General features: G+C 36.3%; 2 long non-coding RNA genes and 1 pseudogene across 20 annotated transcripts in view; 2 read left to right on the plus strand and 1 right to left on the minus strand.

The window, feature by feature from the left end:
- LOC105376944 (uncharacterized) overlaps window positions 1-18,362 on the plus strand; it is a 246,298-nt gene that overhangs the window by 196,202 nt on the left and 31,734 nt on the right. For 7 of the 19 annotated variants that reach the window (NR_188695.1, NR_188694.1, NR_188696.1 and 4 more), the window contains one exon: window positions 8,082-8,234. This is a non-coding gene — a long non-coding RNA (uncharacterized LOC105376944). Of the gene's footprint in view, window positions 1-8,081; window positions 8,235-10,752; window positions 10,869-11,188; window positions 11,517-18,362 lie in introns of all 19 variants that reach the window. The other 12 variants (NR_188693.1, NR_188702.1, NR_188703.1 and 9 more) reach the window with 6 other exon arrangements.
- Window positions 1-18,362, minus strand: part of GRM7-AS3 (GRM7 antisense RNA 3) — a 173,092-nt gene that overhangs the window by 54,286 nt on the left and 100,444 nt on the right. The window lies entirely within an intron of this gene.
- Window positions 5,676-6,445, plus strand: YWHAQP10 (YWHAQ pseudogene; annotated as a pseudogene).

The following is an 18,362-nucleotide window of genomic DNA, read 5'->3' on the forward strand; positions in this document are numbered from 1 at the left end:
TTTGTCAGTTAGGCAAAAGAACAGTAAGGTTTTGGGCAAAGGGATGGAAAAGGAGGATTTGATGATATTGTGCCAGTGAACATGCTTCAAAGAAAACTAACTCAGAGGCTTTATTTGTTTCTTATTGCTGCTGTAACAAATCACCACAAACGTAGTTGCTTAATACCAGAAAACTTAATCACTTATAGTTCTGGAATTCAGGAGTTACAAAATCAACATGTCAGCAGGGCTGCGTTCTTTCTGGAGGCTCCAGGGGAAAATCTATTTCCTTGCCTTTCCAGTTTCTAGAAGCTGCTTGCATTTTTTGGCTTGTGGTGCCTCCCTTACATAATACAGACCTCTGCTTCTGTGGTCATATCTTTTTGACTCTGACCCTCCTATAAAGACTCTCTTATAAAGCCCCTTGGAAATATGTAGATCCCAGCCTATAATCCAGGATAATCTTATCTCAAGGTCCTTACTTTAAGTACATATTTTGGGAGACTCATTATTCTGTCTAGCATAGAGACTGATGTATTGGATGAAATATTCAGGTTCTGACTTGCACATTTACTGCAAGTTTGTAGGACAAATTTTGGATACTACCTCAGAAGTCTCAGGTACCCTAAAAGCAAAAGAAAATCCATTCTTCAAATCACCCTTTGTTTGTGTAGCTGTGGATGACTTTGCAATCAGGGAATAAATTCTGTTTCATCATGAGCAGAGAGGTCATCAACATTCATGAGTTAAAGTCAACAGATGCATGGGGTTCTTTTCCATTTGGCAATAGGCATCTTATCTCCATTTATAAATAAATATATATATGTGTGTATTGCATTAATATACATAAATATGTATATATATACATATTTTTCTTTCAAAAACTTCTTTATGCAGCCCTTTCAGGTAGTTCTCACAAGTAAAATTAGGTTGCTTAGATGTGGCCATTTAAAGCATATTGGAACTGCCAGCAATATAGGAATTAGTTGTATAATTTATGTCATATTAAATTGTTACACAACTTCATGTACTTTCTTCTTTTGTCTGAATTTATTGCCTCACTCATCTGGGAGAATAAAATGCATACAGAGTCGCACAGTGACAAAGGCAAACTGCTTTTTGTAAAGAATTTTAAGATTCTTCATTGTGGATTTAATTATAAGAGTGCCTTTTTGTCTTGACATCTCTAAAATCTGATGGAAGTGAGTGGGAAAAGCTGATGCTATATGGTTTTTCTTACCCAACTTGGATGTCATGTTTACTGATATCTGATTTTAAATACTCAGAGGAATTTTCAGACAAAAAAAGTCTTTTTGAAAAACATATTATGGACTTTAGGTTAGGACAAGATGATATAGAGCCATTTTTTTGTTCCTCCCATAAATTAAAATTTCTAAATTTCATAAATTAAATTCTAAATACAACTATAAGCCCAGGAAATAGCACAAGAGGTATATTTCAGTCCATTCAGGCTCTTATATCAAAAAATATCACAGACAAGATAGCTTATAAACAAGAAACCTTTCTTTTATCACAGTTCTGGAGGCTAGGAAGTCCAAGATCAATCTACTGGCAGATTTTGTGCAGGGTGAGTCCCACATCTATGTGCATAGACAGCTGTCTTCTCCCCGTGAACTTACATGGGAGAAGGGGTGCGAAAACTCTCTGGAGCCTCTTCTGTAAAAGTACTAATTCCATTTGTGAGAGCTCTGCCACCTAAAAAGCCCTACCTCCTAATATCATCACCTTGGGAATTAGGTTTCAGCATATGAATTTTTGGGCTACACAAACATTCAGACCATAGCAAGGCAACCAGGGAAATCTCTGAAAGGTGATAAGACAGTGTACTGGTCAGGGACCCAGGACTGGAGGAACAGCACAGCCAAAGGGTGTCTTATGGTCCCCAACCCACAGAGAAAGGAGACTCAGAGCCAGCATTTCCTGACCACCGACCTAACAATAAAAAGTAGCAGAATTAGGCCCATTCCTTCCGCACATAGAACCAGAACCCCACAGGAAACACAAAACTGGCAGAGCTGGCAAGGAACTCAGCCTGGAGGCCCACAAACAATGGACAACCAAGGAAACATGCTTCTACCCACTGGGGCAGAGACAACTCCTCCACAGAGAGATAGTGAAGCTGCCAATGGCACTTACTTGCAAGAGAGACCACAGCAAGCAGATGGGTTTGAGAAGCCTGCTTGTCACCATGGTCTTGAGACTTCCCTTCCCAGAGACACCAAAAGGGGAAGGGGCACAGGTATAGGGATCCCACCACATAGTGACGGTTCCCAGGATAGCTCTCCAGATCCCCGTAGGCAGGGGAATCCTGCCATAGCGAGCTCCTGACAGTGATGCCCCTTACAGACTTAAGAGTTTCTACCCACACTAGGAGACCCCCATGTGGCAGACAGAACTGAAAGGAGGAACTCACACATGGAAGGCATCCTGATCCAGAAGGTCTTTTTGTGTACATATGGGCCTGATACTCCCTTCCTCTATGCAGAGCAGAGACACTAGGGCAGCCAGGTTTAGGGGCCAGCAATAAATGAGCATCCAGAGAGGGAACCTGGGTGTCCTTTCCTCTACCCGGAGACACCCAGTAGCCCCACCTGAGTAATCTTTTAGTTTCCTATTGAGGCAGCATCAACAAGAACCAGTGAGAGCTCAACAAGCATCAGACCAAACTAACAAACAAGCCAAAATAATAGCACAAAGGATGTAAAAATTAAACCATCAAGGAACTGCAGATCACAGAGTAGACTAAACCATGTCTAAGATACAACTGAAAAATCACCCATCATACCAGGAACCAAGAAAATTACAATTTGAATGAGAAAGGACAATCAACTGACAACCATCGGCAGTTAAATGAATCAGATGTTGAAATTATAGTTGAATAGATGAGGATTTTGAAACAGCTATCTCGGAACAATCAATTACAAATTCTTTTGAAACAAATTTAAAAAGTAGAAAATCTCACCAAAAACACAGAAGTTATATAAAAAAGGAACCAAATAAATATATAAAAGGGAAAAATACAATATTTGAAATAAAAAAAAAACTCTGTGTAGGCTTAATAGTGTTGTTGAGATGACGGAGGATAGAATAAAAGAACACAGGACAAATCAATGTAATTCACCCAATTTGAAAAGTGGAGAGAAAATAGGCAAAAAGAGCAGCTGAAATGTAAGAGGAAGAAGAGAAGGAGGAAAAAGAAGAGGAAGAGAACAGATCCTCAAGGACTTGAGGGAACATAACTAAAGGTTCAGCATTCATATTACCACAGCCCCCCAAAAAGAGAAAAATGACAATGGGTCTGAAAGAGCATTCAAAGCAATAATAGCTGAAAACTTCTCGACTTTGGCAAAAAAACACAAACCTTCATGAAAGAAATAACACAAAGTGGTTAAATGCAGAGAAATTAATGCCAAACACATCATAAATAAATTTCTAAAAATCACACACAAGGAAAACATTTTGAAAGCAGCAAAAGAGAAATGAAATATTATCTACAGGACAATACCAATTCTAATGTCAAAGGGTTTTTCATCTGAAATCATGGAGAGAAGAAGGAAGTGGTACATTTTTCAAATATAAAATGAAAAGAACTCTCAACCATGAATTAGGTCCCTTTACCCTCCCTACTTTTAAATAAAATGATCTAGTGTAAGATGGTATTATAATTTTGGCTTTAATTATCCAATATAATTACTAAAACTCATAAGTAAGATATAGTCTATTGTATCTACCTACATTTATGCTCTTTCCATTTTTCCTTTTTCCTCCTTGAAGCTTCAAAATTCTTTGTTTTATCATTTATTTTTAAATAATTATTATTTTTATTTATTTATTTTTTATCTAACCTTTAAATCAAGTCTACTGGCAATACTTTCTTTTGTTTTCTTTTGTCTGAGAATGCCTTTGTTTCTCATTTTTTTCCCAAAAAAGAGTTTCAGCACATGTTGATGCAAACATTAATAAGAAAGTCAGGAGTAGCTATATTAATATCTGGTTAAGCATACTTCAGAGCAAAAAAAATTACAGACAAAGAGGAACATTACATTACATAATAATGAAAGGTTCAATTTGGCAGGAAGATATAACAATTATAAATGTGTATATACCAAACAACAGAGCCTCAAAATACATAAATAAATCAGACAGAGCTGAAAGGAACAATGGAGAAATCCATAATTATACATGTGGACTTTATCATCTCCTTCCCAGAACTAAAAAACAGATAGAATCACTAGACATAAAACTGAACAAGGATACAATCTCAACAACATACTCAATCAACAGCAATTACTATATATGCACACATATATATGAATAAATATACATATATGAACACACATGCACAAATATGCATATTCCTTCTTCCTCTCTCTCTATATAAAGTCAGTCCATTTCAAACAACAGTAAAATGCTTATTTTATTATTCCAAATGGCTATGAAACTTTCACCAAGGTAGACTGTATTTGGAGCCATAAAACAAACCTCAACAACTTTTTAAAAAATAAAATCATACAGAATGTCTTTTCTGATCATAATGAAATCTAACCAGAAATCAATAACAAAAAAGAGAACAGAAAAATCTCTAATCTAATCAAATAGAAATTTTAAAACATACTTTTAAATAATTTATAGTCAAAGAGGAAGTTTAAATAAAAATTTAAAAAGATAGATGGAGTTAAATGAAAATGAAAATACAGCATTTCAAAATATGTGGGATGCAAGTAAAGCTGTTGAGAGAAAAATCTGAGAACTGAATGCTATGTTAGAAATTAGGAAAGATCTCAAATCAATAATCTAAACTGCTACTTCAAGAAAATTGTAAATGAAAAGCAAAATAAGTCCCATGTAAGAAGTTAGAAAATAAATATAAGAACAGGTTGCTTAGAAACTTAAAGTAAGAAAAAAATAGAAAAAAAATCAATGAAACAAAAAACTAGTTCCAGAAGAATTAATAGAATTGATAAACCTATAGCAAGACTGACAAAAATAAAGAGAAAAATTGAATTGCCAATATCAGGAACGAAAAAGAGGATATTACTACAGATCCTACAGCAATTAAAATGATAAAGGAATAATACCAACAACTTTATGCCCCAACATTTAATAACTTAGAAGAAATGGACCAATTGCTGAAAAATCACAAACTGCCCAAACTCAACCAAGATAAAATAGATAATTTAAATAGTCATATGACAATTAAAGAAATTTAAGTGCAACCAGAATACTACTGAAAAAGTAATCTCTGGGTCTAGATGCTTAGACTAGAGAATTCTGCCAAGGGTTTAAAGGATAAATAATCAGTCTACATAATACTCCAGAAAATAGAAGAGGAGGGCACACGCTCAGCTTATTTTATGAGGCCAGTTTTTCCGGATAGCAATACCAAAGATAGCACAATCAAAATAGAACAAAAAACTACAGACCAATACCTCTTATAAATTTATATGTGAACATCCACACCAAAATATTAGCAACCTGAATCTGATGATGTATAAAAGGAATTCTATGCCATGATCAAATGAGATCTGCTTCAGGTATGGAATACTGGCTCACCATTCAAAAATCAATCAATATGTAGAGGGCTATTGGCATATGGCAAGGAACTATTGTACCTGATTGAAACTCCAGGAGGGAAGTAATACATACTTTATAAACATTAAATATTGTAATTCAACTTGGTAGATAAGTATTTAATAGTCAGTGCAACTCCAGACAGTTAAGGTCATCTATATCAAAATGGAGATTACTTCTAGTATCTTGTTGAAGTTGCATGTGTCGACATTCAAAACAAATGACAGATAATATCCAAAGATTTTACCAAGAGGCTTTTGATATAAGTAAGAAAGGGATGAAACTGTTACACTTAATCTGCCTGGGGCTGGCTTTTAACATTTCTATATTTTACTGTGAGATCCTTAATAACCCAGAGCTTTCCTGCACCTTGGTTAATATAACTTTTGATAAGCCCATCACAGAATTTCACACACTGAATAAAGACTTTTTTGTTGGTTTTTTTTTTTGTTTTATTTTGTTTTTTGAGACAGAATTTCGCTATTGTTTCCCAGGCTGGAGTGCAATGGCGCAATTTCGGCTCACCACAACCTCCATCTCCCGGGTTCAGACGATTCTCCTGCCTTGGCCTCCCAAGTAGCTGGGATTACAGGCATGCACCACAATACCTGGCTATTTTTTTTTTTTTAGTAGAGGCGGGGTTTCTCCATGTTGGTCAGGCTTGTCTCAAACTCCCGACCTCAGGTGATCCACCCACTTCGACCTCCCAAAGTGCTGGGATTACAGGCGTGAGTCACTGCACCCAGCCCTACACTGAATAAAGATTTATATAAAGACAGCATCCTTATCATGAAGTTGCTTAGAGACAACCTAATCTTATGGACATCAGACAGTGCAGGGAGGAACATGATGTGGCGTAAGGGCAGAAAACTAAATGCATACAGGTGTCATCCTTTTCCTCCTAACACAACCCTTTTACACTCTCCATTTCTTATGCAACTTGGATTTCCTGTAACGACAACAATAAAACCCATTCCGTATGGAATCAATTGTTTATAGTCTTTTCACACTGTAGTTCTGGGAAAACTTCGCTGCTTGATTTGTGTTTGTTTTGGTTTGCCTGGTGTGCAGAGAGGCATTCAAATCTTCATTTCATATAAATAGAAGTAATTTCCAAATACTTATGTATAAGTCTAAAATGTATGTAGTATTTAAACAATCTGAATCCATTCTGCAAGTAGCAGTTTATTGTATTACTATGAAGATATGAAAACATACTTAATTACAATTGAGTGTTCTTACATAACTTTTTAATTTCTACATTCCCTCCCTATTCTTTTTCGGGAGTTTTCTTTCAATAAACAACATTTTCATGTTTTTAATGTATTTCTTTTTTAACAGGTAAACAGGTGAATTAGGTTGAATGAAAAAGTATTTAATATTTCTAAATTAAGGGTCACATATTAAAAATGCCTACTATATAGCATATTATGAAGGTCATCTATATTTGTGACAACAGGAAGTTTCCTTATTCACTCTTCATTTGCAGTATTTAAGTTGACAGCTTCCCTTCCTAAGAAAATTTTTTTATACTAAATTTTTTTATATTATATTTTATATTATAAAAATGTTTATATAAAAACTATATTATATAAAAATTTTTATAATAAAAGAAAGAAAAAGAAAGATCAGTCAATATAAGTACACCATATAACAAATTAAGATTAAAAACCATGTAATTCTATTAGTTGGTGCAGAAAAAGCATTTAACCAAATTCAACACTCATTTATATTAAAGACACTCAACCTATTAAGAATAGAGGGGAACTACTTCAATTTAATAATGAACAACAATAAAACATCTATAGCTAAAATTGTACTTAATGGTAAATGACTTAATGCTTTCCCCTAAGATTGGGAGCAAGGCAATGATGTTCACTTTCTCTGCTCTTATTCCACATAGTACTGGAGGTTTTAGCTATTGCAGTTGAGGCATACAGATTAGAAAGGGAGAAATAAAAATGTCTCTGTTTGTAGATATCATGATTATCTACATAGAAAATATATTCCCCCTTAAATGTATACAAAGAAAAAAAGCACTGTAAAATACTATAAAATGTTATCGTGACACATAAACTTTCAGAATCATTCAATAATAAGCAACAATAAAATAAAATAAACCTTTAAAACTTAATCAGCCAATCTTGAGGGTCCTCTCTTTGGCTCTTCTCATTTGCTTGCTCTGATAAATCAAGTTGATATGATATGAGTTGCTTCATGGAGAGGGCAGAAGGTATAGGACTGAATCCTGCCATAAAATTATGTAAAGGAGCTTGGATACAGACCCTTCCCTACTGGAGCCTTGAGATGAGACCATAGCTCCAGCCAACTCCATGACTGCAGCCCTCTGACAGATCCTAAGTCAAAAGATCCTGCTGAACCACATCCATACACTTGACCTACACAAGCCATGAGATAGTAAATGTTGTGGGTTCAAGTCACCACATTTTGGGATGATTTGTTATGCAGCGATAGATATCTAATACAATCTCTATCTTTATATTATTCAGGAAGTCATTAAAGAAGCAACCCATGGCAAAACTAGTTATTTTCTTAAAACAGTAGGAAGAAGAAAAGCTTTTTGAATGAATCACTTCTCATCTTCTCCGAAGTTGGAAGCATCAAGAATCTAAATAAGCATTTATGATGGCTGGCATGAATATGTGAGTAAATACCTGAAAAACTGGCCAGAAGTGTTTTTTTTTTTTAATGAGATTAATCTCGCTTTGATGGAATTTCATTCAGATTATCAAAAGAAAATGAAATATTTTTAGCAAAGTAGATGACTGGGAAGAATTAGGAGAGTAAATGGGGAAAGTGCTCTGTATTAGCAGATCTGCCTGGGACAGGCCTCCTAAGCAGGGTTTCCTCTTCAGCTTCCATCCTTTTTTTTGGTTTGGTTTGGTTTGATTTAGTTTTTATTTTGCTTTTTGCTCTTTACTTCTGAAAACACATTATTTTTCAAGAGGATATATTAGATTTCTTTCTTTCTTTCTTTCTTTCTTTCTTTTGAGACGGGACTGTAGGCACATGCCACCACGCACGTCCGGCTAATTTTTTGTATTTTTAGTAGAGACGGGTTTCGCCGTGTTAGCCAGGATGGTCTCGGTCTCCTGACCTCGTGATCTAACTGCTCCGGCCTCCCAAAGTCCTGGGATTACAGGCATGAGCTGCCGCGCCCGGCCCATCAGTTTTCTTTGTATAGCTCTGAACACTATAACAACCAGGAGTCCCTCTGATTGAAGATGTGAGTGTGCTTGCGTGTTAGCTTAGTGGTGTCTGTATTGGGGTGTTGGTATGGGAAGTTCCTAAAGCAAGCATGATAGCTACAATGTAAAAGGCACACTGTTGTTATATATTTTCTCAGTGAGGTGAAAATGTGCATTCTTCTATTTCCTTTCCCATGTAACATTATGTGCCACTGAAATACCCATTAACAGTTGCTATAGGTTTAATACCCTTTACCATCTTGAGGTACAAAATATTGTTTTTAAATGTCTAAATTACTGTGATTCTGAATGCTCACAGATCACTCTTTCTTTCCCAGAAACCTCAAAGAAATCAGTCTGAGAGCTGCAAGGGTTCACTCTATTCAGTAGCGTCCACATTGGTATCTACTTTCTTCCTGAATTTTTTAAAAGTAATAATAATCTTAAAAGAATCCCTGTTCTCTGTTGTTTCTGTAGCAGTGTTACCACTCCATCTGGTCTCCTTTGAAAATAATAATGTCTACTACTTCAGCAAAAAACCCAGATTGCAAATACAGAGATGGAGATTTTGAATCAGGCTTAAATGCTAATCATAATTTGAATTGTCATCTAAATGTTTCTCTATGTCAATGACAAGAAATATGCAAGAAATCCAAGAGGGCCATTGGTTAGTCTTCTTCCCTCATCTATTCTCTGAGTTTCTCTAAAACCCAAGCAAGTCCCCAGCCTCTCACATCTCCCATGTTTGGTGTAATACTTATGGGCTTGTGTCACTAGATGCCATAATTAAAATTTGAGGCTGAAAGAAGAGTGCCTAAGGGGAGACTACTTGTTTCTTAGCAATTATAAGACCATCTAAAGGCTATGCGCACAAACAGTATGAAACAATTGCTAACTGGGTTTAGTAATATGGAGGACCTCCTATAGCAGAAGCTTAAACTTTGCCCACTAGACAGTTTCTACCCACGTGCCATTGGCCAAGTGGATCAAGGTTGAGAGCAATTTGAAGAGTGACTCTGGAGAACATAAGTTAAAACAAATTTTTTTCCAGGCTTGATGTCTGGGTTCACAAGAGTCTGAAATATTCACACAGTTGTATCAACTATTCACTGCCTATTTACAGTAAGCATAGAAAAATGAATAGAAAATCGACAAAACTGGCCAAAATGACATTGAGATTATCTACCAATTCTATTTATACCTTGTCACAAATAAATAAGACTGTTCTCTCACAACTCTGTTAGCAACCTAAAAGTTTAGAGAACATTTTCTAAGTTTACTAATTTACTTTCAGTGCATTGTCTCTACGTAGTAGGGCCCAAGGCCTTGTCTGAAGAAGCATTCCCATAAAAGGTGTTATGTCACACAAATAAAAATGGCGTATTAATGATATGAGATTCCCTGCAACTTAAAGCCAGTTAAATTTGTGTAGGCATTTTGTCAATGAAATTGGACTAATGAAAATGAAACCAGGTACAATGTAATTTATTTGAAAATTATTTTTAAAAACAGTTTGTGTTAGTTTTCCCTAATGTAGTGTTACCATTTTCATCATATTTACCTTAATGGCATAATTATACATAAATTGTTTGGAGAATCCTGTGAGCTCTTAAAAATGTGTATTATGAGGCAGTAAAAGATATTTATCTTCAAACCAATTGATTGATGAATCATACTCAACTTCCTGGTCTATACACTATTTTATAAATAGACTTTTGTCACTATCTTAGCACCAAATTACCATATTAATAGTATATAATTACCATTAATACTGTAACATAGTATTAAGATATAATTTATGAGAAACTTTCTCTCACTATTACAAATCTACAATTTAATCTTAGAACCATCCATTTCAGAGAGCCAGGATAAAATACAGATACCTTTGAAATGATACTGAATGGTAATATCACCATCCTAGTCATTATGGAGGGAGAAAGGTGAGAGAAAAGTTACCTAATTTCCCTTTCAGTTCTCTCCTTCATCGTGCCTATTTTATGAACTTGAACAAGGAAGTTGCCACAACATCTGTGGGCCAGAGAACTATGCCAGAATGTTATTTCCAGATTGCTTCCTGTATTTACAAAGGTATAAATCTTTGATTTCTATATATTCTTCTCACACCCTTCTCTGCGAACACACCTATCTTCCCCATTTTTTAACTGGCTAAGTTCTATCTGCCTATCATGAAAAGCAAAGCCACCTATAACAAATTCCTTAGATTTAAGTAACTCTTTTTTAAATTCCGGTGTATTTTTTGTGCCTTCTATTGGTTAGATTTTGTTAAAATAATGCTGCATAACAAACCTTTCCAATAATAATTTGATACAATAATTTATTACTGTTTATGTACCTCCAGGTTGCCAGGGCGTCCACTGGTCTAAATAGCACTCATCTTCCTACTGCAGGTCTATAGGTCCACTGATACGGCTTTGCTACTCTACCCCGACACCCTGAGGACTAATCTATTAATAGTATGTACTTCTTATAATGATGAGTGAGGCACAAAAGAGGAAGCAGAAACGTAAGAGACCTTCTAAAGCCTATTCTCAGAACTGCCATACTGTCGTTTCTGCCTCTGGCCAAAACAGGTCATCAGGTACAAAGTCAAGAGCCCAAAGCCACATGGTCCTAAGATGAAGAAAGCCTGTGGATTCAGGAACAGATGAATTTTAGGAGCCAACAACGCAATCTACCACTTGCCTCTCTTAAGAAATATCATTGTTTACCTATGTGGTAATTACCTGTATACCTATTTTTCTCTGCTATGTTAGTACCCATCTGCATTGACTATTTTATTTGTATGGTGCCTTTCACTTGGTAAGTTCTCAACACTGGAAAAATATGCAAGCCAACTAACTTTATTCCCCCTGCACATTGCCAATTACATGTAAGCTTATATGACATGGTCTTTCTATAAAGGCAATTATACAGAAGCCTGAATTCTATGCAGAGTATTGTTCTTCTACCTTACTTTACAACAAGTAATCATTGTATAGGTTTCAGCACAATTAAAATGTAGCAAGTCCTGTGAAGATATTTAGTCTGAATTAATAGGTTCTCGGCACTGGGCTTCTGGATTTCTTTTTTAAAAATTTTTTATTTAATTATGACTAATGTTCATCTATTATATACACTTTAATCCAGTTACTGTATATCCATGAATTTTGGTAATGGGAGAATAACAAGACAGCTGCCATTCTAGAACCTACTCAAAGGAACTGGTATATAACAATACTCAAACTTTCTTCTCATCAACACTATCCAGTCTCACAAACCAAGATCAAAATGACTTTTCAATTTGCATATACCTTACCTTTAGCTCCCTTATGCCTTGATAAGTTGGTTATGATTCTAAGTACACAGTAATTTATAATTACTTAAATGGACCATTAAAGAAGTATCTTGGTAAAATCTCCACTCATGAGATTTTCACTGGCCTTTTATATACTCATCAAGCAAAAGAGGAAAAAAATATTTACGGATGTTCAGGTCAGGATCTTTCCTATTATATTTTTTAGTAGAACATCATATTATCTTTCACTTGCCTAATATTTTATCTTTGGCACACTTATAAATGTTGTCAAATTTGGATGACAATGCTAATGTGTTGGAAAACTTAAAATTAACAAGGAAGTAGATAGAGCACTAAGTTTTAAGGAAAAAATAGACCATTCTCTGTACCGAATGATTTGATGTAACTGGGATAATTTTTAAAATTAAGCCTTTTTCTCAATCCACCAAAATCAGGGTCCCGTCTCTACTGCTCTGTCTCTTTAGCTCCAGAAGTCCCAATGTGGCTCCATCACCACCTCTGTCACCCTGTAACCTGCAAGTACTGGGAGATCTGTAGAAAGGATGCTGGCATGACCAAGAAGCCAGGAAATGGTATTACATTAAAACTTCTGCAGTTTCCTTGAAATTCTACTCTCATCAGGACACACACTCCCATAGCCATTCCACCACCATGCACTTGCCCATGACTGCCCACTGCCCTGCCAGTGCATGCTCACCCATGGCCTCCACACTACAGCGCACTCTCCTGCGGCTCCCCATCACCACACTGGAGCGCTTTGACTGGCAGCCCCCACCAAAATGTTGTTAGTAGTGGACTGAGGACACCTCAGTCACCCCAGCATAGCAGGAACTTGACCTAAAGGGGCCAGAGAACAAACCTGTGAACCTGGTCCCAACCCTCCAAGTTTAGACTATGCAGTCCAGGGATGCTGAGCTGAGCCCTGGTCCATGAAAGCACCCAGAAATGAGCTCCATCAACCAAACACAACTTTTACCAGTCCAGGGATGCTGAGCTGAGCCCTGGTCCATGAAAGCACCCAGAAATGAGCTCCATCAACCAAACACAACTTTTACCAGTCCAGGGATGCCGAGCTGAGCCCTGGTCCATGAAAGCACCCAGAAATGAGCTCCATCAACCAAACACAACTTTTACCAGTCCAGGGATGCCGAGCTGAGCCCTGGTCCATGAAAGCACCCAGAAATGAGCTCCATCAACCAAACACAACTTTTACCAGTCCAGGGATGCCGAGCTGAGCCCTGGTCCATGAAAGCACCCAGAAATGAGCTCCATCAACCAAACACAACTTTTACCAGTCCAGGGATGCCGAGCTGAGCCCTGGTCCATGAAAGCACCCAGAAATGAGCTCCATCAACCAAACACAACTTTTACCAGTCCAGGGATGCCGAGCTGAGCCCTGGTCCATGAAAGCACCCAGAAATGAGCTCCATCAACCAAACACAACTTTTACCACAGTCAGACCCTCAAAGGTTTCAAAAAGCGTAAAGGCAAAAAGCACCATCCAACGGACAACAACTTCAAAATTTAAAGAAACATCAGCTAACACAGATGAGAAAAAACCCAGCAAAAGAATTCTGACAACTGTAAAAGTAAAAGTGTCTTCTTACCTCCAAATGATCACACTAGCTCCCCAGCAATGATTCTTAACCAGACTGAAATGGCTGAAATGACAGACAAAGAATTCAGAATCGGGATAGCAAGGAAACTCAATGAGATGCAGAAGAAGGTTAAAACCTAATTCTAGGAAAGCAGTAAAATGATCCATGAGTTGAAAGATAACATAACAATTTTAAGAAAGAACCAAATTGAAATTCTGTAAATGAAAAATTTACTACATGAATTTTATAACACAATTGGAAGCATTAATAAGAAAATAGACCAAGCTGAGGAAAGACTTTCAGAGCTCAAAGACCACTCCTTTGAATCAATACAGGCAAACAAATCCAAAAAAAAGAATTAAAATATGAACAAAACCTCCAAGAAATGTGGGATTATATGAAGAGAACAAGCCTATGATTCATTAGCATTCTTGAAAAAGACAGATAGAAAGAAACTTGGAAAATATATTTGAGTATATTGTCCATGAAAATTTCCTCAACCTTACTAGAGAGGCTGACAATAAATCCAGAAAATTCAGAGAACCCCTGTGAGCTATTATACAACATGACCATTACTAAGACACATAGTCATCAGATTATCCAAGGTCAATGCAAAAGAAAAACTCTTAAAGGCAGCTAGAGCAAAGGGACAGGTCACTTATAAAGGGAAACCCATCAGGCTAAGAGCAGATCTTTTAGCAGAAACCTTATAAGACAGAAGAGATTGGGGCCCTATAGTAAGCATCCTTAAAGAACAGAAATTCTAACCAAGAATTTCATATCTGGCCAAACTAAGCTTCATAAATTAAGGAGAAATAAAATCCTTTTCAGACAAGCAAGTGCTAAAGGAATTTGTGATGACCAGACCTGCCTTACAAGAGGTACTTAATGGAGTACTAAATGTGAAAATGAAAGATTGATACCTGCCACCACAAAACCACATGTAAGTACATAGCCCACTGACACTATAAAGCAACTATACAATCAAGTGTACATAATAACCTGCTAACAACACAATGGCAATCAAATCCTCACATATCAATATTGATCTTAAATGTAAATGAGCTAAATGCCCCTCAAAAAGCAAAGAGCAACAGGTTGGATAAAGAAGCAAGACACAACTGTATGCTGTCTTCAAGAGATCCATCTCACATGCAGCCACACCCATAGGCTCAAAGTAAAGGGATGGAGAAAGATCTATCAAGCAAACAGAAAACAAAAAAGAGCAGGGGTTGATGTTCTTACTTTAGATTAAAAAAAAATGCTTTAAACCAATAGTGATCAAAAAGAACAAAGAAGGGCATAACATAATGATAAAGCGTTCAATTATACAAAAAGAGTGAACTATCATAAATATATATGCACCTAACATTGGAGCAAACAAATTCACAAAACAAGTTCTTAGAGACCTATGAAGAAACACACATAACCATACAATAATAGTGGGAGACATCAACACCCCACTGACAGTGCTAGAGAGATAATCAAGGCAGAAAACTAACAAAGATATTTGGGACAAAAACTCAATACTTGGCCAAAGGGATCTAACAGACATCTGCAGGATATTCCACCCAAGAACAACAAAATATACATTATTTTCATCCACACACAGAACATACTCTAAGATTGAGCACATGCTCAACTGTAAAGCAATTCTCAACAAATTCAAAACAATTGAAATCATAAATCACACTGTCAGACCACAGTGCAATAAACATTGAAATCAGTATGAAGAAGACCTCTCAAAACCATACAATTACAAGAAAATTAAACAATTTTCTTGCTTCTGCTCCTGAATGACTTTTGGGTAAAAAATAAAATTAAGGCAAAATTCAAATTCTTTGAAACTAATGAAAACAAAGATACAACATACCAGAATCTCTGGGACACAGCTAAAGCAGTGTTAAGAGGAAAGTTTATTGCACTAAACATCTATATCAAGAAGAAAGATCTCAAATTAAGAACCTAACATCACACCTAGAGGAACTAGAAAGATAAGAGCAAACCAACCCCAAAGGTAGCAGAAGAAAAGAAATAACAAAAATCTGAGCTGAACTGAATTAAATTGAGATGCAATATCCATAAAAAGAATGAATAAAAACAAAAAGTTTGTTCTTTGTGTTCTTTGAAACAATAAAGAAGATTGATAGACCAGTAGCTAGGTTAATTAAAAAAAAGAGACAGAGAAGATCCAAATAGATGCAATCAGAAATGACAAAGATGACATTACCATCAACCCGACAGAAATACCAAAAAAAAAAAAAAAAAAAAAACCTCGACACTGTTAGAAACACCTCCATGTACACACACTAGAAAAGCTAGAAGAACTGGATAAATTCTTAGAAAAATACAATCTCCCAAGATTAAATAAGGAAGAAATTTAAATCTTGAACTGACTAATAACAAGTTTCCAAATTGAATCCGTAGTAAAGAAAAAACTGCCAACCAGAAAAAGCCCTGTACCAGATGGATACACAACAAAATTCTACCAGACATACAAAAAAGAGCTGGTACCAATCCTACTTATATTGTTTCAAAAAATCAAGAAGAGACTTCTCCCTAACTCACTCTATGAAGCCAGCATCATCCTGATACCAAAACCAGGCAGATACATAACAATAAAGAAAACTTCAGGCCAATATCCTTGATGAATATAGATGCAAAAATTCTCAACAAAATAATAGCAAACCGAATCCAGCAACACATCAAAAAGCTAATCCACCACAATCAAGTAGGCTTTATTCCTGGGATCCAAGGTTGGTTCAACATATGCAAATCAATAAATGTGATTCATCGCATAAGCAAAACTGAAAACTAAAACCAAATGATCATCTCAATAGATGCAGAAAGGCTTTTGATAAAATTCAACATCCCTTTTTGTTAAAAACCCTCAAAAACTAGGCATAGGAGGAACATACCTCAAAATAACAAGAGCCATCTGTGACAAACCCACAGCCGACATCAGACTGAATAAGCAAAAGCTAGAAGCATTTCCCTTGAGAACTGGAACACAACAACGATGCTCACACTCACCATTCCTGTTCAACATGGTACTGGAATTCCTAGCTAAAGCAATCAGGCAAGAGAAAGAAACAAAAGGCATCCAAATAGGAAGAGATAAAGTCAAACTATCTCTCTTTATAGACAATATAATTCATGCCCTGAAATCCCCACAGTCTCTGCCCAAAGGCTGCTAGAATTGATGGACAACTTCAGTGAAGTTTTAAGATACAAAATTAACATTAAAAAATTTGCAGCATTTCTATCAGCAGTAAAGTCCAAGCTGAGAGCCAAATCAAGAACACAATACCATTCACAGTAGCCACAAAAAGAATAAAATACCTAGGAATACAGCTTACCAGGGAGGTGAAAGATCTCTACAATGAGAATTACAAAACACTGCTGATAGAAATCGGAGACTACACAAACAAATGGAAAAACACTCCACGCTCATGTAGGAAGACTCAATATTGTTAAAATGGTCATACTGCCCAAAGCAGTTTACAAATTCTATGCTATTTCTATCAATCTACCAAAATTATTTTCCACATAATTAGAGTAAACTATTCTAAAGTTAATAGACCAATAAACAGCCTGAATAGCCAAAGTAATCCTAAGCAAAAAGAACAAAGCCAGAGACATCAGTTGCCCAACTTTAAAGTATACTACAAGGCTATCGTAACCAAAACTACACGATACTGGTACAAAAACAGAAACACAGACCAATGGAGAAGGTTAGAGAACCCAAAAATAAAGCTGCACACCTACAACCATCTAATCTTCAACAAAGTCAACAATAACAGGCAATGGGAAAAGGATTCCCTATTCAATAAATGATTCTGGGATAAATGACTAGCCATGCAGAAGAATGAAACAGAACCCCTTTCTTTCACCGTATACAAAAATCACCTCAAGATTGATTAAAGACTTAAATGAAAGACTTAAAACTATAAAAATCCCAAAAGAAAACTAGAAAATACCATTCTAGATATAGGTCTTGACAAAGATTACATGATGAAGGCTCAAAGAGCAAGTGCAACAAAAACGAAATAGACAAGTGAGACTTAATTAAACTAAAGAACTCCTGCACAACAATAGAAACTATCAATGGTGTAAACAGATCATCTACAGAATGGAAGAAAATATTTACAAACTGTGTCTGACCAAGGTGTAATATCCAGAATCTATAAGGAACTTAACAAGCATAAAAACAAACAACCGACTAAGGACAGGAACAGACACTTTTCAAAAGAAGACATGTCAGGTGCCGTGGCTCATGCCTGTAATCCCAGCACTTTGGGAGGCTGAGGGGTATGGATCATGAAGTCAGGAGTTCAAGACCACCTGGCCAGCATGGTGAAACCCCATCTATACTAAAAATAAAAAAATTAGCTGGGCATGGTGGTGCATGCCTATAATCCCAGCTACTCAGGAGGCTGAGGCAGGAGAATCACTTGATCCCGGGAGGCGGAGGTTGCAGTGAGGTCAGATTGTGCCATTGCACTCCAGCATGGGCAACAGAGAAAGACTCCGTCTCAAAAAAAAAAAAAGAAGATACGAAGTCATGCATGTGGCCAAAAAGCATATGAAAAATGCTCAGCATCACTAATCGTTGGAGAAATGCAAATCAAAACCGCAATGAGATACCATCTCACACCAGTCAGAATG

The sequence above is a fragment of the Homo sapiens genome, chromosome 3 (assembly GCF_000001405.40).
Source record: "Homo sapiens chromosome 3, GRCh38.p14 Primary Assembly".
Classification (NCBI taxonomy): Eukaryota; Metazoa; Chordata; class Mammalia; order Primates; family Hominidae; genus Homo; species Homo sapiens.